This window comes from Homo sapiens, chromosome 7 (genome assembly GCF_000001405.40).
Source record: "Homo sapiens chromosome 7, GRCh38.p14 Primary Assembly".
In the NCBI taxonomy this organism is placed as follows: domain Eukaryota; kingdom Metazoa; phylum Chordata; class Mammalia; order Primates; family Hominidae; genus Homo; species Homo sapiens.
This window is the reverse complement of record NC_000007.14, coordinates 27,766,358-27,790,188: the sequence shown is the minus strand read 5'-3', so window position 1 is coordinate 27,790,188 and position 23,831 is coordinate 27,766,358. Positions and strand designations below refer to the sequence as shown.

Below are 23,831 nucleotides of genomic sequence, written 5' to 3'. Positions count from 1 at the left end.
TATAAATTTTTTTAAAAGGAAAAAATGTATAAATTCTAATTTGTGTTAAAATATAAATATACGTATATTCATAAATTCAATAATAACTTACTTATCTGAGAAGGGATGAGGATTACATTTTACTTTGTATCCTCATGTACTGTTTAAATTTTTTTATAACCATCACCTCAAACTACTTTCACAATCTTTTAAAAGCTTTAGCAACTAGTAGTCATTTTTCTCAGGTACTTCCATAACTACGCTTTTCCTCACAGAAGTCTTGCTTAAATAGGAAAAAGATGCTTAGAGAAATTTTTAGCATCTTATTAAATAACAAATAATCAAATACACTTCTCATGTTTGCACTGGCAATCTGTTACATTAAAAAGTAACAAGGATTAACCATTAATTCTAAATGTCATGCGCTTCTGACGTTTTAGGTATTACATTAACTATGTCTGAGTATTTTTAATAGCAAATTACTAAAAATAACATCATAAGAAATAATGAATCAATCAAGGTAAATCTATATAATGGAATATTATGTGGCCATTTTTTTCAAATGAGGAAGATCTCTACAAACTGATATGGAGTAACTAGCAACTTATTTTGTTCAGTGAGAAAAAGGTGCAAAATGGTATGTATAGTAGCGCTACCTTTTTTAAGAACGAAGAGGATAAAGAAGGATGTATGTACATGTACACATGCATATATAAGCTTATTTTTACAAAAAGAAACATAAGAATAAACTAGAAACTTATGAAAATGTTTATCTATGGGCATAGGTAAGAAAAGGGTTTAAAAAAACAAGGAAGAGATTGAGACCTCAGAGTAAAATTTTTCTATCATTTTGACTTCTGAACAAAGCAACTGTTTTACATATTCAAACAATAAAAATAAATCAAACAGAAGAATAAAAGCAAATATTAAAATTAAATACAAGCAAATGAAATTATATTACAAATTTATAACATAGGTATGCAAAAAAATAGTTCAAGTAACTTTTGAACATGGCGTTTCTATACATCCTTAGTGAAACATATTCTAAGAAAAAAGAGCTGTAAAAATACCTTAGCTTTATTTAGTACATTTATTGTTGGAAGTGGCATTGATGTAATAATTGTGAAAACACTGGTGTGTACGGCTGGATGGAAACACATGAGTAATAATGATGTTTGGGAAACAAGAGTTCTCACATTGCGAGAAGAGAGATATAAATATGGAATGGAGCAAAGGAAGGAAGAATCCTAAGGTACTAAATCTGAATTGGAGCTATCAATATAAATTAAAGATGCAAAATACCCACTGAATGTGCAAAGCAGCAGCCCCATAGTAGCAATAGGATCCAGTTCTTGGTTTCAAAATACCATTACCTACTAAAAAAAACAGAGTTTCTTGGAGAAATGGTAATATCAGGTCTGGGGGAACAACCTGAAGTTAGAACATACAGTTGTGCCATAAAGCAAGAAAGTATTCAAAGCATTATAGGAACATATCAGGACAAAAAAGCAGGCTTGAAAAGGTTCCCCTGGTTAAATTCAGAACAATTTGGGTATGAAAAAGAATAATGATGATTATGCATAATATGCAGCAAAAAATCAGTAAGTCCAAAGTTATATTTAAAAAAGAGGGAAGGGTGACAGGAATGTCCTCATGATAAAAGATTACCTACAAATAAATGTAGAAGGCATAATAGAATTTTTTAAATCACCATTTTTCTATCATTAATTATTACCAACATAATAGCTGATGCAGGTGAGGAGCATCAAAGGACAATAAAAACATTGAGGAAAGGCTGTTGGAGAACAGGGTGTTTATACAGATTGCTTAATAATCACAAACAGGGAAAGAAAAGAAAGGCACCTATATAGAGACAGGTAGGCATAACTTTAAACAAATTATTAAACCTAACATTATCAAGAACGAAACAAATTGACATTATATAACTTTTGATATGACTCCAACAGGATGGACAAAACATCATCTATGTCTTTTCTTGCAAAAATGTCTCACCTGAATCTAGTCATGAGAAACAACAGACAAATCCAGATTATAGAACATTTTCTCAGACTAGCCTGTCTTCTCCAAAAATATCAATGTCATAAAAAGTGTAGGGACACTATTCTAGACTGAAACCGACTCAAAATACAACAATCAAAATAATATGTAGTCTTTGACTAACTGTGAATCACAAAATTTTAAAGATTATATAAGAATACATTTGGGGCAATGTGATTGTGAACTAACTATGAGAATGACTGTTATTCAATCAGTGCTAAATTCTTAGGTGTAATAACGGTGTCATGGCTATGAAGAAGAATGCACTTGTTCATAAGGGAGACATGCTAAAGTATTTAGAGTAAATTATCGTAATACTTGCAACTCACATCGCTCAGAAAAAAAGGCATATAAATGAGGGAGATAAAACAAAGAATGGCAAAATATTTTAGGGTACATCAGTATTCATTGTTCTGTTCTTCCAACTGTTTTGTAAGTTTGAACTTTTTTAGAACAAAAGCTTGGGGGAATTAAAAATGAAAATCATATTGCATACATTTCATAGGTATGTTTTACAATCTTCAAATATATATAGCAAAAGTACTTACTTTACTTGAGGTTGTAAGCAGGAAAGTTCTTTGCAGATTTTCCTTTTCAGCCAAACATAACTGCAGCCTGCCAATCTCTTCTTTGAAATGAGTAATCACGCTTTCTTTGTTCCCATCTAAATTTTTTAAAGTCTGGACCTCTGACATAAGCTTGGTATTTTCTATTTCTGTATTCTTCAAATGTACCTGTAATGGTGTTTGAAAATGTCAAGAATATTCTAACTCCATGACCTAAGTTAGTCAAAGTTTAAAATACCATTATATTTCTAACCCAAAGACAACGAAAGGAAGGAAAGACATACTAGACTAGGATTTAGGAGACCCAGGTTCTGCCAAATGACTAGTTAAGCATGCAGGAGCAGAACACAGCTTTTCTAAGCTTTTTTATTTTCCAGAGAGATTATTCTAAGCCCTAACAACATCACCTGATCTCTAAAGTCTTTTCCTTTGATTTAATGGTTTCAGGTTCTCTTTAAAAATGCAAATAGATTTGGTTGTTCTTTTGGGGAAACAAATTATGTTATTTGGCATATTCAAATCTGGCACGACAAGACTCTGGAAAACTAGAAGGGGTGCATTCAAAAACAACATCTCAAACAATTCCATTTTCTGCAGGCGAAAAGTACGATATCATTTAGTTTCAATGTGCTGAAAAATGTATTTGTTGACTAACCCAACTATATTGATTTTCCCATGACTCTCGCTATTGCTGATTTGCTCCTAACACACATACAAATCAAATTCAATAACTGGAATTATAAATACAGACCTGTAGTGTACACTATCAAGTATATCCTGCTTTCGTTAAGAGTACTGAGGAGAAATGAATTAACTTACTTCTTGCACTTTACTCTTTAAATATACAGAATGCTGAAGGACTAATTCCTGTTCACAAGGATAGAATATTAACTCCTGATTCTCTGAAGACATCAGCAACCAACACCCTTGCAGCATCACTTTAAAACGCTACCTGATGTTCATAATCATCAGCTCATTAAATTGACTTAACAAGAAACGGACTTAACTCAGAATGTTCTTGAAATTCCTCATCTGGAATTGCCTTCAGGAAATGCTTATGAGCCACTTAAAAAAATAAGTCTCAATTTGCACCCACAGCATTACTGACAATTAAGCTAACTACCCTATATTTCAGGGTTGCTTAAAAAAATAAATAAATAAAAACTGCCAGGCACGGCGGCTCACGCCTGTAATCCCAGCACTTTGGGAGGCTGAGGCGGGTCAGGAGATCGAGACCATCCTGGCTAACATGGTGAAACCTCGTCTCTACTAAAAAAATACAAAAAATTAGCCGGACGTGGTCGCGGGCACCTGTAGTCCCAGGTCCTCGGGAGGCTGAGGCAGGAGAATGGCGTGAACCCGAGAGGCAGAGCTTGCAGTGGGCCGAGATCGCACCACTGCACTTCAGCCTGGGCGACAGAGCGAGACTCCATCTCAAAAAAAAAAAAAAAAATTCAAAACTTCAAGCGGTCAAGATTTGTTAGCAGTGAGGATATTTTTACAAAATGACATCTCTGAAGATATTCTAAAAGTCAAACTCTAAAATGGGATTATTACTAAATTAATGTTCTCCCCAATGTGTATATATATATATGTTCTTAAAAAGGAAAAATAGTTACATGAATTGTGATAAACAAGTATCTTAATTCCATTAAACCTCTTCAACTTATTACACACTACCTGTTAAGTATCTAAAACAGCAGCAAATTAATTCCCTGAAAACTAACTTTTAGGGGTGATATACAACATGACTGTGACTTCCTCCTTGCTCTCTCCTGGATCACTCACTCTGAGAGAAGCTAGCTGCCATGCTGTGAGGATATTCAAGCAGCCTATGAAAAGACCACTTCAAGAGGAGCTGAAGGTTCTCCTGCCAAAAGCCACTGGAGTAAGCCATCTTGAAAGCAAACCCTCCAGTCCCAATCAAGCCCTTAGCTGACTGCACCCCTTGCCAACATCCTGACTGCAACTACACAAGAGGCTAGAGCCAGAACCACTCAGCTAAGCTGCTCCTAAATTGCTGACCTACAGCCCCTAAGTTCTGGGGTCATTTCTTTTGAAGCAACAGGCAATAGATATGGTAAAAAATAAATTACCTTATAAAGTTCCTTTTCATCCTTCTCTGTCTTCAACTGACATTCAAGTTGTTCTCTTTCATGTTGTGCCTTCTTGAGTTTGTCCTTTAAACTAAGATAGGTATGATAAAGTAACATTATAATGTTTTAAAGTTTTAAAATTTTTATTGAATTTATTTTTTAAAAGCATGAGAAATACCTGTCTAATTCGGTTTCTTTTTCAATTGCTTTATGTGTTACTGACACAATATCTTCCTCAAGCTGATGGGCTTTGGATGTAGCATCACTGAACCTCTTCTTAAACTCTTCATTTTCCATTTTTAAGCTTTGTGTTACTTCAGTAAGACCCTGAGAAGTGACAACAAGGTATTTTGAGAAAACACAGAAACATAATCAGTAAAGCAAATTTGCATATCTTTAAGAAAACTATGTATTCTTAGAATTTTAATCCCACATTTGTTCCCTCCAAATTTGAGAAGCTAAGACTATAAAACTTGAAATGATAACATATATTTAAATTTTCATATACTAAATTAATCGATAATTTGTTTTTTGTTTGGGGTCTCACTTTGTCACTCAGGCTGCAGTATGGTGGCACAATCACAGCTCAGGTGATCCTCCCACCTCAGCCTCCCAGGTAGTTGGGACTACAGGCACCCACCACCACGCCTGGCTAATTTTTTTTTTAATAGAGACAGGGTTTTGCCATGTCACCCAGGCTGAAACTCCTGGGCTCAAACAATCCTCCTGCCTCGGCCTCCAAAAGTGCTGGGACTACAGGCATGAGCAATGATTCGTTTATTTATATACATTTTCCCCCCACCTTCAGACTTTTCATGTACCCTGTATGTTGATTTTACTAACTTTTCTCCACCAGGGGGCAGGCAAGAAAAATGAGAAAAAAATTTTAAAAATTAGTCACGACATATCAAGTCTTACACGACACCATCAAGGTTAACACCCACTTTTTCTAGCACAGGTCACTAACTGCCATCAAAGCACTAACATATGCCTAAAGCCATGTTCCTAATCTTCTTGCCAGTGTGACTCAGAGGCCTAAACAAATATTCAAAGACACTAAGACAAATATAAAAGAGGTAGTAAGTGCAACAAATTGAATGTTGAATTGAATTTCTACTTGGAATATTCTACTTTAAATGGACAATTCATAAGACTCAAATATAACAGTGTATATAGGGAAGTGCTTTGTTATAGAAAACTATATTATAAAAGAATTGGTAAATTAAGATAAAATTATTTTTATTAAAGAACAATTTTAAAATTTCTCCCCAAAACAGTAATACTTACCTACCCAGCAACAAAAACTAAAAAAATCACCGTTCTGCCAAGTTAAAAGTATGAAAGATTATATAGTATTTATAATTCACTTTAATTCACATAAAAGAACTCACCCAAGTATTTTCTTGATAGAATATCATTTTAAATATCTTGCTAGAATATGAACATTGCTACATTATTTTCTAAAAGTCAGATACACCCTATTGACTTATTTTTGGTCAAAGCAAATGTTTGTCTGACTGAATTTGTAACACTAACCAAAAACTGTTGTACAAAATGCTTTTTTGGTTCCAATGCCATAATACCAGAGAAAAAAACAAATAATATTTATTTCCTCTGCAATCATAATGATTGCTGTGAAATTGGGCACATTTTCAGGATTTGTCTTGTTGATTTATAAAGATGGCCAGAGAGGTTTCTAAATAATGTTCACATTTTTTTTATTTTTAGTTTTACCACCAGTGCTCTCTTGGCACTGCAAATACACTACAGATTTAACCCAAGTATTTCTCCCTAGGACAAAATTACTTTCCAATCCTGTAAGTAATGAAGCCCTATAACGGGTATACAGCATTCTACAAAATGCATAGGAAAAGAGAAAAAAATCACTAGCAACTGAATGTAAATCATGAACTAATTGCTTTGAGTCAGTTAACTTTACAGTGAATTATAAATTAACTCTGACTACAACAAGCGTCTTAGACTTTCTCTGGTGCCCATAAAGGCACCTGATAGCTTCCCAGCATACAAGCCTCCTTTCAAAACACATGAAAACGATAAAGTAAGGATTATTCTTCAGGCCTGTAGTTTTCACGTCTGAGTTAAGCATAAGCATCTTCAATGTGGCTCCGTCGTTCTTAGCATGAAAAAGCTAAGAGCTTTGCCATTTCAAACAACTAGGAATCATGCTTTCAAAAATTAACTTTAAAAGATAAAATCTAAAAGACAATTTTTCTAAAACACTTTTAGTCATTTGTAAATCATGCCAAAAGGACATCATAATTCTAATATTAAAACAAAGAAAACCTCCATCAGATAATTAAGCCTGCTACATTGTATGCCGATATGAAAACAATCATAAAAATTGGGGCAAAGGGAGATAAAGAGATTTGAGTACTTCAGATTCATGCAGGGACTTTCCTCCCACTCCTAAACTAAAAAAATCACTGTTTCCATGAGCCACTATTACCAATTCCCACAAGTCATAACTCTCACTTATGAATAACCCGATAAAAAGATTATGAATCATTCATCTAGGTGGCTAAACACATTTTAAAAGTATTTAAAATAACAGAGCACATTTATTCTCATGTTAAAAAATAAAATTCTGATTATAAACAAAAGCATATGAAGAAACCAGATACAGTATCACTAACAATTATCTAGAAAAAAGGTATGGTATTCTAGATTCACACATACACAGAGTAAAATTTAGTAAACTAGCACCTGAACACTTTAAATAACAAATTATTGACAAAACAATTATTTATGAAAATTGCTAGTCAGATTTTAAATCAAATATCACTCATTTTACTTAATCTGGCTTTTCTCAAACACCTAATTTTGAAATCAACTATAATACCAAGTTATGATGACAGCTACACAGACTATAAAGACATCTTCTCTGGTTTCTACAAATCCACCAGACAAAAATATAATATTTGGCCGGTGTGGCAGCTCACATCTGTAATCCCAGCACTTTGGGGGGCCTAGGTGGGTGGGTCACCTGAGGTCAGTAGTTCAAGACCTGCCTGGCCAACATGGTGAAATCCCATCTCTACTAAAAATACCAAAGAAAAAAAAAATTAGCTGGGCGTGGTGGTGTGTGCCTGTAGTCCCAGCTACTTGAGAGGCTACTCAAGCAGGAGAATTGCTTGAACACACGACGTGGAGGTTGCAATGAGCCTAGATTATGCCACTGCACTCCAGCCTGGGCGACAGAGAAAGACTCCATCTCAAAAAAATAAAATAAAATAAAACAAGAAAAGAAAACAAAAAGTTTTTAAAATGGAAAAATCTTATGGAATTTGGATACAAAGAAAGAATATTTTTGCACAGCTGTACATGTTTGTGTTTTGAGCTAAATGTTATTTCAAAAGAATCAAAAAGTTTTTAAAAAGAGAGTGAAAATGTTACAGTGAGCTAAGGTTAATTTATTTTTGGAGAAAAAAATATTTTATACATTTAGTATAGTCTGGCCAGGTGCGGTGGCTCATGTCTGTAATCACAGCATTTTGGGAGGCCGAGGCGGGCAGATCACCTGAGGTCAGGTGTACGAGAGCCTGGCCAACATGGTGAAACCCTGTCTCTACTAAAAACATAAAAATCAGCCAGGTGTGGTGGCGTGCACCTGTAATCCCAGTTACTCCGGAGGCTGAGGCACAAGAATCACCTGAACCCAGGAGCTGGAGGTTGCAGTGAGCCGAGATCACGCCACTGCACTGTACTCCAGCCTGGGCAACAGAGTAAGACTCCGTCTCAAAAAAAAAAATTAATTAATTAATTAATTTAGTGTAGTCTAAGTATACAATATTTATAAAATCTACAGTAGTGTACAGCAATGCCCTGGGCCTTCACATTCACTCACTACTCACTCCCTGAATAACCTAGAGCACTGTCAGTCCTGCAAGCTCCATTTGTGGTAAATGCCCTATACAGGTATAACAAATTTTACATTTTATACAATATTTTTACTGTACCTTTCCTTTTCTAAGATATCTAGATATGTTTAGATACACAAATATTTACCATGTGTTACAACTGCCTACAGTATTCAGTACACTAACATGCTGTACAGGTTTGTAGCCTAGGAGCAACAGGTTATACCATATAGCCTAGGTGCGCAGTAGGATATACTATCTAGGTTTGTGTAAGTACACTCTATGATGTTTGCACAAAGAGGAAATCATCTAACAACACATTTCTAAGAACGTATCCCCATTGTCAAGTGGTGCATGACTATAGTAAAAAATGTGAGGGCTACCTTCAATTCACTGAAAAATCTGCTATGAACAAATGTACTTAAATTCAACTTTTACAGAAAATAACAGATCCAAGCACTATTTTTGTGGTTGGAGTGGAGAGGAGGGGGAAGAGAGACAGGCTACAAATATATTAGTGTCTAAATTATTTCCTGAATATGAATTTATTCCACAAACTAGTGATTTTTTTTTAACATTAGGTTTCATATACATTTTTAAAGAGTTAGGGAATAAGTAAAAAAATTTAGGGTAGTATAACTTTACTTAAAATTACCTTTTAATTAAATTGAATGGGAACTACTCAATGATGTAGTCTTATGAAATAAACTATGAAAATGCTTCATTGTACAGTTCTGTACTTATCAATACAAAAATTATGGGTTTAAAAGTATATAAATATATTGTAGAAATAATATATTATGAGTTTCTTAAAACTATTACTTTGTAAAGCAGGTACAAAATTAAAGTAATTGGCTTGAAAGAAATATATTGCTATGTATACATAAGTTATAATCATCACCCCATGTATTAAAATTAAGCCTTTTGTATCTTTTCTTGATGACAATTGGCAAAAACAAACAAAAACAAATTCAATGAGATCATAAATTCAAAACTGGTTTTTGGCAATTCCATGTATTAGATACTAAATGCCTTAAACTGCCTCTGTCCAAAACCAGGTACCTAATGCTATGATAACAATAACAGCTATCTTGAGAGCTACTGTGTAGGAAATGTTATGTGCTTTATGTATAATACATTCTCATTTGATGAGCACATGGCCTAAGAATTAGGAACGACTATAAGGCTCGTTCACATGAGAAAAGTGAGCCACAGAGAAGTTAAGTAGTTTATCAAAGGTTACACAGCTAGTAAATGGAAGAACTGAGAATGATTTCAACTTTCCAATATCTTTAAACAAAAGTTTTCTAAAATAATAACTGAAAATTTTAATAATTGAGGTACTGAAATTTTGGTAATTTGATTTTTATCTACTCTTGATATGACCTTTCTTAACAGTGGTACTAATAAATAGATTAAGTTATAAGATACTCTCCAAAGATAACTTCCAGATCTCATTCACAAACTGCTAAATTCAAAGACTACTATATTGGTGTTGTGTGTTGTGGCAGAGACTGCTGGTTGTCTGCCAAATTATGACCTCCTTTCAACCATAGTAACTACATATCACTGCCCAACTATACTGTATTCCCAGCTTCTCTTGCAATGCATTATAGTCATCTAAATTATCATCAGTTAAATATAAATGAAATGATATATATTACTTCCACCTCTATAACTTACACTATTGATCATGCCTTGTCTAAGATCTCTTTCCCCTTTCATCCAGCTGAAACCAGGATATGTCAGTGACCAAGTTTCTATCACGAAGACATAAATTCTCTAGGAATCTAAGGGTGGGCAGTGGAATGATATAAAAGGTAACAAGGCCCCCGAATAATCATGCAAAGCAAATCTGCGATCCCCTCCCCAGACTTCAATGACTTATGACATAGACTGTTACATTAAGAACAACAAAAACTTTACACTGTTGGGTTTCTTTGTCTTCACTCTAATTCATTATTTATCCCTGACTAGTATTCAAATCAAGTAACTCATCTGATACACTGCCATTAAGACAAAAAATTAAATTGGCTATGTAATAAAGTATAAGATATGCATCACTGATCATACCCAAATTCAACTACTATTGTAAATTACTTTAAATATCTGAATCTTGAAGAGAAAATGTAGCAACTAAAAGCCAAAAATAGGGAAATTACAAAGCTAGTTCAAACACTGCTATGATACTGAGTACACTTAATCCAAAAACAGCCAATTTGAAGGGCAACAAATACATATGGTAGAGGATCTCAAAACAGCAAAGCACTTGTCAGAAAGTGCCTCAAGATATTTGCCTCAAAAATCAAAAATCTAGATATGAGCCAAGCACAGTGGTGCACACCTGTAGTCCCAGTTACTTGAGAGGCTGGGGTGAGAGGATGGCTGGAGTCCAGGAGTCTGAGGCCAGCTGGGAAACATAGTGAGGCCTTGTCTCTATATTTTAAAAAGAAAATTTTACATCAAGATATAGAATATTATTAAGCAATAAAAAGAAACAAAGTACTGATCTATGGATGAACCTCAAAATCATTAAACAAATATTAAAAAAAAGGCAAATATAGAGACAGAGAAAGTAGACTCAAGGTTACCTAGGGCTGGAGACAGGGGTATGTAAGGAGTGACTGTTAATGGACTCAAGGTTTCTTTGCAGGATGATAAAAAACATCCTAAAATTAAATTTTGGTGATGGTGGCATGACTCTATAAATATACAAAAAACCATCCAAATTGTATACTTTTTTTTTTTTTTTAAACGCAGTCTCACTCTGTTGCCAGGCTGAAGTGCAGTGGCATGATCTTGGCTCACTGCAACCTCCACCTCGCAGGTTCAAGCAATTCTCCTACCTCAGCCTCCCGAGTAGCAGGACTACAGGTGCGTGCCACCACACTCAGCTAATTTTTGTATTTTTAGTAGAGACGAGGTTTCACCATGTTGGCCAGGATGGTCTCGATCTCTTGACCTTGTGATCCACCCACCTCAGCCTCCCAAAGTGCTGGGATTACAGGCGTGAGCCACCGCACCTGGCCAATTGTATAAGTTTTTTAAAAATCAAGGTAACTGAAGTTAATATAGGTTGGCTTTTGGATGCTTGCTTTCTTTTATATCTGCAACTGAATAATCCTGGATACAATCTTACAGAACCTATCTATATTCTTGAGTACAATAAAAAGCATATTAAATAAAAGTCCACGTTTGTTAAACTACGTAATATAAAGTACAAGCAGCTACTCAAGAGTGTGACTAGGCGAACAGTACTAGACCACCGACAGTTACCAGGCTATATCAAGACAAGACACTTGTACAAAATATAAATCAACTACATCACTAACCACACTGTTGGGTTCACCTAACAGCTTTTCATAGCAATACTTTCTCAGTGAAGAAAGTAATGCATTTACATACATTGCAGTGTACATTTTTCATTCCAACACAGACCAGTAACAAAGTTTCTGAACCAGCTACTTTGAGTACCATGGAATAGAAAACTAAGAACAGAATGCCAAATACGTGCAGAAAAACCATACAGGCTTTTAAACCTGGGTACCTAGAATACCAGATAATTCAAATCACTTGAGAAAGAATATCTTGGCTCCTCTAAATAAACATTTCTCCTGATAGCGACTCTAAAACACACAATTAGATGCAACTAAAATCGTGCCAAGATAAAGTAACAAGAACCAAATGAACTCTACCACCTGAAAACTAAAAAACTGAATGAAGAACAGCTCTCAAGCCACTGGACATCAGGATAAAAGGTCAGTGATCCCTGAAAGAAAAGAAACAACAGAGGTCACCTCTATAACTGCTCCAGCTTATTACTGTCTAGAGAGACTTTTAAGGCCACAGGGCAAAGAGGCAAACTCAGGCAGAATCCAGTGGTCTCCCTGAGTTATGGAGAGAAACTGAGAGTCTAGGAAAGCTAAGGAGAATAGTTTCAGGAGAGAGTACCAGAGAAGAATCATGTAGAAAAAGAACTCGAGAGATCTGCAAGGAGTCCCCCTCAAGTCTTGAGCTGATTAGTGATCAGCATATGCGTGTGAGGAAATTAACCCAGGCTGGAGAAAGAATCACCCAAAAAGGACTACAGGGAACAGTGCCTGGAACTCAAAAAGGGCCAGGAATAGTGGTTATTCCTACCAGCCAGAGTGGAAAAACTCATAATTCATGGGAGAACAATTACAGTATTCTCTAATTGAAAGAAGGGTCTTTCCTCAGTAGTGGGGAGAGAGTAACCCCAGTCTAAATGCTGCTCTGGTACCACTAAACAAAGCTTGAAAACAAGGCTCAAAAAAATCAAACTGTTGCCAAGTAATTAAACCACATCCCAGAACAAAGCTCAAGAATATTTTTAGGAATATAAAAAATATCCCAACACCCAGCAAGGTATAATTCACAATATATGACATCCAATCAAAAATTACTAGGCATGCAGAGAGGCAGAAAAATATAACCCATAATGAGTAGAAAAGCCAATCAATCAAAACTGATACAGAAATGAGCCAGATGATCAAGTTAATGAACGGACATTTAAACATGTGTATTCCATATGTTCAAGAAGCTAGAAGAAAATTGAACACAGTAAACACATAGAAACATGAAAGACATGAAAAAGACTCAAATCAAACTTCTAGGAATGAAAACAACAATGTCTGAGATAAAAAATATATATATACTGGATGGGACTAATGGCAGATTAAATATTGCAAAGAAAAGATTAGTGAACTTGGAGACAAATAAAATTTAACTATTTAAAATGAAACAGAGAGAAAAGGGACTTAAAAAAAAAGCACAAGTGAAAAAAAAAAGCACAAGTGAACTCTGAAACAACTTTAAGCAACAAAACATATGTGTACTCGAGTCCCTGAAGAAGAGGAAAGACAGAAAAAACAGCTGAAGAAATAATGGCCTAAAATTTTCAAAATTTAATGAAAACCATAAGTATACAGATACAAAAAGGTCACTGAACCCCAAGCATAAAAAATAAAGAAAATAAAGAGGACACAACATAATCAACCACTTAAATTCAATGATAAAGAGTAAATCTTAAAAATAGTAAGAGGAAAAAAACACATTAAATATAAAGGAAGAAAAATACCAATGACACTGAATTTCTCATCAAAAACAATAAACGTGAGAAGAACCACATTTCTAAAATACTCAAATACAAAAACTATCTATCTAGAATTCTATACACAACAAAAATCTCTTTTAAAACTAAAGGTAAAATAAGACTTTTCCTAACATACAAAAGTTGAACAAATTCATCAACAGAAGACCTGCACTACAAAAATGTTAAAGAAAGTCCTTTCAGGTAGAAGGAAAATTATACCAGACAGAAACCTTTATCTATGCATTTTACCAGGTTGGTTCTTTATAAGAATCCTTAAAATTACTTACAATACACTGAAGAATACTTAAGTACTCCAAAAGGTACCACTACCATTTTGAAGGGAAAATGGTTAATTCAATTTCCTAAATGTTAATTTACATTACTAGAATTTCAAATTTGAAGTTGCATAAAATCTCCCTAAGAATTATGTACCATGGTAAATTTATCAGTCAGTGCTTGACCAGATAAGCAAACAGCTGGGGAGAGAGAGAAAGACAGACAGACGAACAGACAGACTGAGAGAGACACTAAGAGATTTGATCTTGTGTAACTGTAGAAGCTGGAACTAGCTTGTGTAAGGCAGGCAATCAAGAAAGACATCATAAAGTGGGAAAAGCAAGAACAAAATAGGATCCACAATCACCAGATGAAGCCCACCAGAACGGACTGAAAACTGAAGTCCATGTTGGTTTTTATTCTGACCCTGATAGTCTCAAGATGTCTTGAGCATGCTGGGGTCCTTCCTGACAGACCTAACCCAAGAGATGGAGAAACTGAAAGAGGATTCCACAGAAGGTAGGGCAATTGCAGCCTGGCTACTACTACCTCATACCAACAAGGTGAGCCAGGAGAGAAGCCACAACTTGTATAAGCTACAAAAATGGCTGCTGCTTCACTTCTGCCTTCAAATCTCATGCAAGAATCTCTCTTGTGTCTCATCCTAAACAAATTACAGAGAAGAGAACTCTGGAAAATAAGTTCAGCCTAGCAAGGTGACATATTACAAAGCTACCACCACAAAATTCCATTTATCAGAAAGAACTCCATTTGACTTAAGTTCCCGCAACTCAAAATTCTAAACTTTAAACTTTTAATACATATGATCCTTCAATTGTATTATCAATGAGTTTCATCTAACCATACCATTATGTGTCCTGGTATATTCTGATAAGAAAAATTTCTTCTATAAATGAGAAAACCATTTCAATGACTAATATCCACAAAGACATTACATTACTGTACTAAAACTATATGCTGATTTTTTCCCACAATTTATCCTTTCTGAAATGGAGATGCATCTTACAATCAACGGTATGTCTTAGTTTACTTGGATTATTTTTTTCCTGGCAGTAATGATGTATAACCATAGCTTCTCAGGCTCAATGAAGCAAGATATTAAAGGCTTCCCAAAATCTTTGCAGGAACTACTGATTTTCTATTAAAATTGTAATCAGGACAATCTTAAATAAATGTAAACCAAATTCCATAAAATGTGCAACATAATTTAAAAGGTATTAAACTTCTTTTTTCTGGTTTTCAATCAAAACATGCTAAGTAAATGGGCAATGTGGCACAGTTATGTGATCGCTAGAGGGAGACAAATGACTGCTGAGTTTTAGTAATACAAAATCTTTCAATTCATTTGTTAGCTGTTAAAAACTGGTATTTTCATCCCTTTAAATACCAGAATACCCACAATATTTATAAAATGATAAAGTACAAAATAGTGCTTTTTTAAAACTTCTTAAAAGAACTGGAAGGCCACAGAAAAACACTAAAGATGCATAAAAAGAAAACATTGTAAATAGCTCACATATAGTAAACCAGGACTGTCCAAGAATGATAGTTTTTAAATATATGTTTTTTTAAATCATTTTTCAAGACCATAAAATCCCATATTCCAAATAAAACGTCACCTTCAGACCCTTCTTTTGACTACAATTAAAGCTGGTCAGAATGCCACAAGCCCCAAAACTCATTGTTATCTATTTATTCCATAAATACTTGATGAATAAAGAGACATACTATACTTGTATCTGTTATTATAAGCCATTGTAATATAGTAACAAAAACACCTAGCTTGGGTTTTCAGGTTCTCAACTTTGCCACTTGTTAACTAGACGACTTATCCATGAGGAAGCCTGAACTCAGAAAAACTAAGTGACCACCTTATTTCAATGAGAATAAAAAGGAAAACTCTATCTGATGACAAGTTGTTCTTTGCAGTATATGCTGTCACTCTACAACAACACAAAATATCTTTACGTTTTAGAGAAGAAACAGCCAAAAAGATAAAGATAGCTTAAGAGGTCCACACTAACCAGAGAAGAGATCTTGCACATTCTCTCACTCCCATACCTATGATACTTCCCAAATACCTGGTGATGTCTCCTACCCAGTTTGTGAAACTTAAGAATCAAAACAGTATGAATACATTTAACAGTTTGTAACATCCTCCATTACATTGTTTTGGCAATATTACTTTAATATTCTCAAATATAGTTCAAAAATGCCTTGAAGTACATCACATCCATCTTATTATTCAAGTTGAAAATACAATTATATGAAAAAAACTCAATTCATAGTTTAGGCTCCAAAAAAATTATAAGCTAAATTAACTGAAAAACTTAACAGAGGCACAGCTCTTTTTACTCCTATTTGAAAAACAAGATTCAAAATCACTGGTTCTCTGAGCCTCAGTTTTAACTCTTTCAATTTCCAATACGTATCTAGCACTCCAAAATACAAACAAGAACACAATGAAACACACAAACTGCTAATTTTCACAGAAGTCTTTGATAAATGTAAAGATGGGGTTTCAAAAAATACTCATCAGTACAATAGATTATTTGGCAATAAAAGGAGTGAATTAACAATATATATTACAACATGGATGAACCTTGAAAACATTATGCTAAGTGAAATAAGCCAGTCACAAAGGCCACATATTATATGATTCCATTCATGTGAAATGTCCAAAATACACAAATCCATAGATACAGAAATTTCAATTAGTGGCTGTCTGGGACTGGGGGAAGCAATCAGAAGGTAAACGGTAGAGTAACCACAAGTAAGTAAAAGCTTTCTTTTGGGGATGAATTTGTTCCTAAATTAGACTATGGTAATGGTTGCATGATTTTGTAAATACATTAAAATCCATTGAATTGTATAAACTGGTGAACTTTATGATACACAAATGACATCTCAATAAAGCTGTTTTGAAAAATAATCAATTAGATCAGCTCACATCTTTGGCCCTCAGAAGTATACAGCAGTGGTTAAAAGCACGGACTGGAGCCATACTGCTAGCCTCTATCACTTACTAACTGTGCAATCACGGACAAGTAAGTAGCCTCTCTGTGCTACCTCTGAAAAATGCAGACGATACTGCTTACTTCACAGGACGAAGTTAGCTAACATATGTAAAGCACTCAAATCACCATCTGGCTTTTATTAAGTGTTATATGAGTTATTTTTATTAATGAGCCTTTTTCAAGAGAGGAGGGGAGAAATCTTCCCTTACAGTTGAACCAGAAAGGAATGGAAAATTATCCTTAATAATAGAGTTACTTTTTAAATCTAGGATGTACATGAATAATGAAGTAGATACCACAAAAATCTAGGGGAAATACAATATGTAATTTATTGTTTCTCAATTTATAAACATTATCTTGTTTTAGTTTTAATCTACTTTGTAATCCTAGTTTATTCCTTCAAGCAGCCAATTTCATAAAATAACATTAAAAACAAACACATAATTTAAACCAATCTGTTGTAATAATCCCAACATATCCAATTCTTTTAATTTACCAAGTTAAAGAATTGTAATTATCAGAATTTCATTTAGTTTTAATTATTAGAGCACTTTAGAGTGATAAAAGTCAATGTGATAAAAGATGAAAAATTTTATTAATAAACAATTACAGAATTTAATTCACTTTTATTTTTTGTCAAGTATGGAATAGGTAATAAGCTAGTCATATTATTTTATAAAAGAATGGAAATGCAATAAATTTCTCCTATTATGAAGAAAATGAAGGTCTCTGCTTATTACATGGAGAATCCATTACAAAACTTTAAATGAAATTATAGATGATACATCAGAACAATCTTTCAGATATTCAACAGTTTATATACTCAGTACCTCAAATAGAAGACCTCTAGAACTACTATAGGATTCACACCATGGAACAGATTTAAAACAAGTGCCAAGAAATGTCACAGATTTTATAAGCCATCCAACCAGACCAGTTTGAAAGTCTGGAGTTGTAGCTGCCCAGCAGGCATGCTTGATTAAAATGGAGACTAATTTTGGAATATGAAGCAAATTCATAAAAAAAAAAAAACTAAAAGTCCATTGACTAGTAACAAAGAGGAACTATCTCTCCTGGCCAACACGTTTTATCCCCAGAAATAAACAATTGTCACCACATATGTCTTATAACTTAGAGGGTTTTTTTGGTTACATTATGTATCCATTATACTTTTAGAATCTGAGGGAAATGCTATGAATTTCCAGTCCTGTTGGATGACACTTTATATTGTAGTCCTTCCTTGATGATTCTCTGGTTCCTATTATGAAAAACAGTAAAATAATAATAGCTACTTACATTTAGAGAGAACTTCCCATGCATCAAGTACCATTCCAGGTCCTTTGTCAATTTTTTTCTATAATATGGAATATCATTTAAAAAATCACTTTCAAGTGCTTCCCAGAGAATATGCCCCAATGCAAGAATGGCAGCAGAGAAGCAGTCTCCTCCAAGATTCGTGACTGTCATCAAGATTTAAGAGTTGGCATAAAAACTTCTGCTGAAGACCTCTTCTGAGCACCAAGGCCACAATGTCCTACAAGTTTTGCTTCATTAATCCCCTGACCTCAGTCTACCACTTTAGTCTTGTCTGTAGTCCTTAACCCCTTTATCACCTGGAGAGCACAGAGAATCTGAGACTGTTTAAATCTTAGCTACTACTCAAATGGACCAGAGAAATGGCCCGATGTGTGTGTGTGTATATATATATGTAATTTCACACAAATGAAGGCCTATCATTCCGCCATTCCTATTCTCACAATCATCCATTCCTTCCTTGGATTTCAAAGTAATCAGAGTCAAAACCTCAAAGCCCACATTTCAGGATATTCTTGATCTCATGGGCTTAGGACATGGTGAAATGGGCCTTTTTCATGAGTCATCTATCTCACCTTGATCCCTCTGGCTTGTAATACAGTGAAAAAAAAAAAAAAGATTGACATTAAACTTTGGAAAACTACCAAATCCAGGTATAAATCATGAGAAAAATATGTGAAGAATGGAGAAAAAGAGAGTAATAACTACACAAAGCAGCAAGAGAATTACAACAAATGAGTAAAAAAAAAAAAAAAAAAAAAAAAAAAAAAAAATTGCTGAATGTCCTAATAGTCATCGAGGGCACATATTATGAGATTTTACTATATTTTAATACTTGGTATACCTGCTTCAAAGGTTCAAATGAAAAAAGTAGTTCCTTAACCAAATGGAAAATCCTACTCCTATAGTCTGCTGCAGGACACTAAGTGTTCCCCAGGAGTAAAACTGGGAAATACTTGCATATTTTTAACTAAAAAGGCTAACGATAGAAAAGACAGAATTGAAGACTTCACATTTATAAGGAGATTTGTAAATGTACATAGTACTTGACATTATGTTTACCCTCTAACTCAAAAGAGCAATCCTCAAACAAATAGAACAAAGCAAGGAAAATCTTTTCAGAATTTAAGACTTACTTGTATAACATCTCTGCCCAGGTGTGCAATATATAACCACTCCACTGGAGTATACAAATGTTTGAGAATCACTGCACTAGCGGTTCATTTAGCAATTATTAAGCAATTGCTGGAGGCCTTGTTGGACAAAAGGATAACAGAACAGACCCCACCCTCAGGAAACAATAGCTCAATACTGTAAATGGGCATAAATATGCCCAACCGGCTCTACTGTACATGAGACTGTAATATATAAGATCACAGTCTGTGTAAGTTTCAGAACAAACTGCTTTTCTTGTGAAAATATTAAATAAACAAGTCAATGACTAGATAACTGTTTTTTCACTGTTTTTGGCTTCTTACAAGTCTATTTCTATCACTAATGAAGCCACAATGTTTTCTGCTTCATTGTACCTGTCTCTCTTTTTCTTAGCTCAAGAAATTCTGCCAATTTTAACTAGTTTGTTTCTTAGGATAACATAGCATTTCACCCATTAAAAATTTCAAAATTTTGTCTAATACTACATCTTATTTCACCAAATTATGCTTTTTTGAAAAGTAATTTTAATTTATGTATCCCATTTTTCCTTTATTCAGCGTTTATCATTTCTAATTGTATTTCTAAACAAAAAAAATCAAGTATTCTACAATTAGATGTAAAACATCTGGAAATAGTTGTCAGGGACTACCTCAACAAGCCTGGTACCAAAAGTCTAAAAGTATTTTAACCATCTTACAAACATAAAAGCAGCTGTGGCAGAAGGTTAATAGGAACTGACCTGTTCTTGTATAAACGTCTATCTAAAAGGCTACTTTTCTCAGTACCTGGTTTTCACTTACTTAATTGGTTCAGCTCTTTAAAAAGGTGGGTTTCAGGCAATATACTATCAACTTCAATCAGTTACATAAGACACAACTAACCTTTTGTTCTGCTTGCAGTTGGTCACATCTTTCTTTCTCATGGTTAAGTTCTCTTTCCATTCTCCCAACTTGTTCTCGAAGTTGTGCTGTTTCTTTTTCCAGAACGGCAATTAACTTTAACAGTTCTTCTTTTTCTTTCATGGTTTTCTCAATTTTCAACTATAAAGCAAAAAACTCAGATTAATTAGTTTTTTGCTTAATCCTAAAATATGTTATTACAAATTTAGTTTTCCATTTCCAAAAAAAATAATGAAGACATTCACAGAAAGAACTCTTACATTCTACCTACTTTATATCAATCAGCCTTTTTTTAGCCTTCAGTTAGAAAAATTCATCAATCATAAATTTAAACCTTCTTTTGGTTGAGCAAAGAAGAAAATATTACAAAATGAGAGAACTGTATTATGAAGTTGGCTGCTAATCATTTTTGAGATCAGAACTAAAAATAAGGCATATTAATGTTCCCGTTAATTACAGGGCTTTCTTATCCACAGTAATAATCAGATACTCCAAGAGGAAAAGTTGTACCTCTTCTTGAATGCAAACCTATAGGAAATCTTTGAATCTATCACAAACTTACTATATGGTATATAAGGCCTTCATCTATGGAATTACTACTAAAAGTGCTGATTCCTTAAGACACCAAGAAATGTATAGTTTCTATATATAAAATGGCCTCTACTTGGCTAAATTAAAACACTCTTCATAAGTAAAAATACAAATTTTAGGACAAACATGCAGACTGTAACAACATATTAACAATATACCTGATTCTTATGGGAACAGCTAATAGTTCAGGAAAATATAAACTTCAATATTCTAAAAGATTACTAAATAAATGGTCATAAGATAGTAAAACAAAGTTAATATTTCTCTTACAGGAAGAATGAAGACTCACAGGGAAGACTTAACAAAGGTGGTATTATACATTTAATTGGTAAAATGTTTTTCCTCCATACACCCCAAATTGGTTTTCCAGGGTCATGGGATTATGAAATCAAACTGATTAAATTCTAAAATGGCTCTTATCAAAGTTGAATAGCTGCAAACTTTCTGAATGACTCTTCTACCTGTTCCAACAAATCAAATCAAAATGCCAGGAAAAGTTTATTTATTCAATCATTGAATTTTTTTATATCTTATCTATTTTTAAAAAATGATTTGAAATAGTTTGCAATAAATGGCATTCAATAAAGTCAACAGAAAATTAGAACCAGGCAAGTATATCACCCATAAAGGTTAATGTCATTATTAATTTGGCATTAAATCTGGCTCAAAACTCTGGCAACTTAAAAATAAAGATATATCTTGACATAGCACAACATAGACTTTATAAAAGAATCACCTTTTCCAGTGATTTATTTAATTCACATATACTTTCTCAAGAGTTCACTAAAGCTTAAGTAGACATTTTTAGAAGAATTCAAATTAGATAAGAATGTATATGTCTCATTTCTTGCCTCAATTTTGTATTTTGGAATATGTTAAGCATACAAAATAGTTAAAATTTTACAATGATCATCCAAACATCCATCACCTAAATTCACTGATTATTAATATCTTGCATGTTTATCTCTTTATATACCTAAGTTTATGTATCCTTTTTTCTTCTAAGCCATTTAATGTGAAATTGCAGACACTTCACTCCTAAATACTTCAGAGCAAGCATCACCTAATAAGGACAGTTGGCTTTAAACCACCACTATTATTATAGCTAAGAATATTAAGAATAATTTTATATCCTCCAATAGGCCATAGTCAAATATCCCTCACTATCCCCCCAGTTTTTTTTTAAATCTAGGACACAATCAAGGTCCACAGATTGCAAAATTATGTCTCACTAATCACTTTTAATGTCAACAGGACCCCAGATAATGTCTCACATTTGTAATAATTTTGTGCAGTTTTAGATAAAGATTTTAATGAATGTGAGAATTTTAAAGACTCACCAAAATATTTGTTAAAAAAACATTTAATCTCAGAAATATTTACTTAAGAAACAGCAATTTTCACATTCTTTATAAAGTACCCTTTGTGGAGTAGGAAGGAGTGAAACAGAATGAGATATGTCTCAATCTACTTGAAGAAAAAGTACAAGATAAATGTGAATGCCAAAATGCCCATCACTTTTCTGTTGGAGGCCCTGAAATGAGGGTGGTCTAATAAGTATTCAAAAAGCTACAATATAAATACTGACTGCATTCTTAAGATCTGGGTTTGTTTCAGCATCTTTGACTGGCATTCAAATACAAAGCTAAAAACCTTGATCATCAGGCAGTTGCACCACAAAATGTTTTAGTCACCCTATAAAAGTTACATTTCTTTAAGATAAGAGAGGAATTTCTGTAAAGGGGAAGGAAAGATATGAAAGAATTCACAATAAAAAATCATTAGTTCCTCCTAACCTAGTTTGACTGTCTAATAAAAGTATTCTATCTGTAACCTCTTGTCTTTTTACTCCAGTCTCAGTTCTTTGAGGTAAATAAAAGTAAAATCAAAGGTATTAAATATTTACATGTTAAAAAAATCTATCCAACTATAAAGAAAAAGCAATAGCTGCAATAGAAGAAATATGAATATAAATTAGCCAAAAATGTATACTGAACCAATTTGAGAAACTATTTTTCTTATTATTATAATAGAGGGCACTATATACAATTAATCACAATAACTCAAATATAACACTGTAGTTTTTTAGGTATAGGATAAAGATATTGAAAAATGTGATCTTAAAATGAGAAAAGAATGTCACTCTATTTTTTCTGTCAATGACTACTAAAAATTAATACACAAGGCATTATTAGACCATCTACATAGTAAATTTATATTAAAGCCATGATCATGACTCCACAATATTCTATTTACAAAAACAGTAAGGAGTAAATAGCTTTTTAAATTTTCTTTTTAAATTATGGTTAATCTAGGCTTATTCATTTCATCAGAAGTACAACAGGAATCATTCTAAAAATGTCCAATCTAAATTAAGAGACTGGGAAGCTCCCCTGACTCACTGCCACACTTTAGAAAGAGAATGCTCATGGTAGTGAAACAAAGTTCACATCCAATTACAGTTAGATTTATTGATTTACACCATTATCCCAAGCAGCTTCATCCCCAAATCGGTAACATTCTACAATGAACTGATTACGCCACCACAAAAAGTTAGGCAAAGGAACATAAGGAAAGCTTTAGACCTAAACTCTCCCAATTGGTACTTACTGCACTATCCACTATGCGCAAAATAAGGATAGGCCCTAGGGAAAGTCTCTGCCACAGTGGAACCAACAGCATAATTGTGGCCAAAAGATTTTTTTAAGCATTTCAAAAAAAGACACTCTAAATTTATTATTTTAGTTAAAAAGCATTCGATTTTTTTTTTTTTTTTTTTTTTTTTTTTTTTTTTTTTTTTTTTTTTGATACGGAGTCTCGCTCTGTCGCCCAGGCTGGAGTGCAGTGGCACGATCTTGGCTCACTGCA

At 33.7% G+C, this 23,831-nt stretch overlaps 1 protein-coding gene across 6 annotated transcripts in view; it reads right to left on the bottom strand.

Annotated features, from left to right (window-relative positions):
- TAX1BP1 (Tax1 binding protein 1) overlaps positions 1–23,831 on the bottom strand; it is a 90,395-nt gene that overhangs the window by 39,579 nt on the left and 26,985 nt on the right. For all 6 annotated transcript variants that reach the window (NM_001206901.1, NM_006024.7, NM_001362794.2 and 3 more), the window contains 4 exons: positions 20,355–20,513; positions 4,878–5,026; positions 4,700–4,790; positions 2,586–2,771 (listed from right to left, as the gene is read on the bottom strand). In NM_001206901.1, coding sequence (NP_001193830.1) covers positions 2,586–2,771; positions 4,700–4,790; positions 4,878–5,026; positions 20,355–20,513 — 585 coding nt within the window. The remainder of the gene's footprint in view (positions 1–2,585; positions 2,772–4,699; positions 4,791–4,877; positions 5,027–20,354; positions 20,514–23,831) is intronic.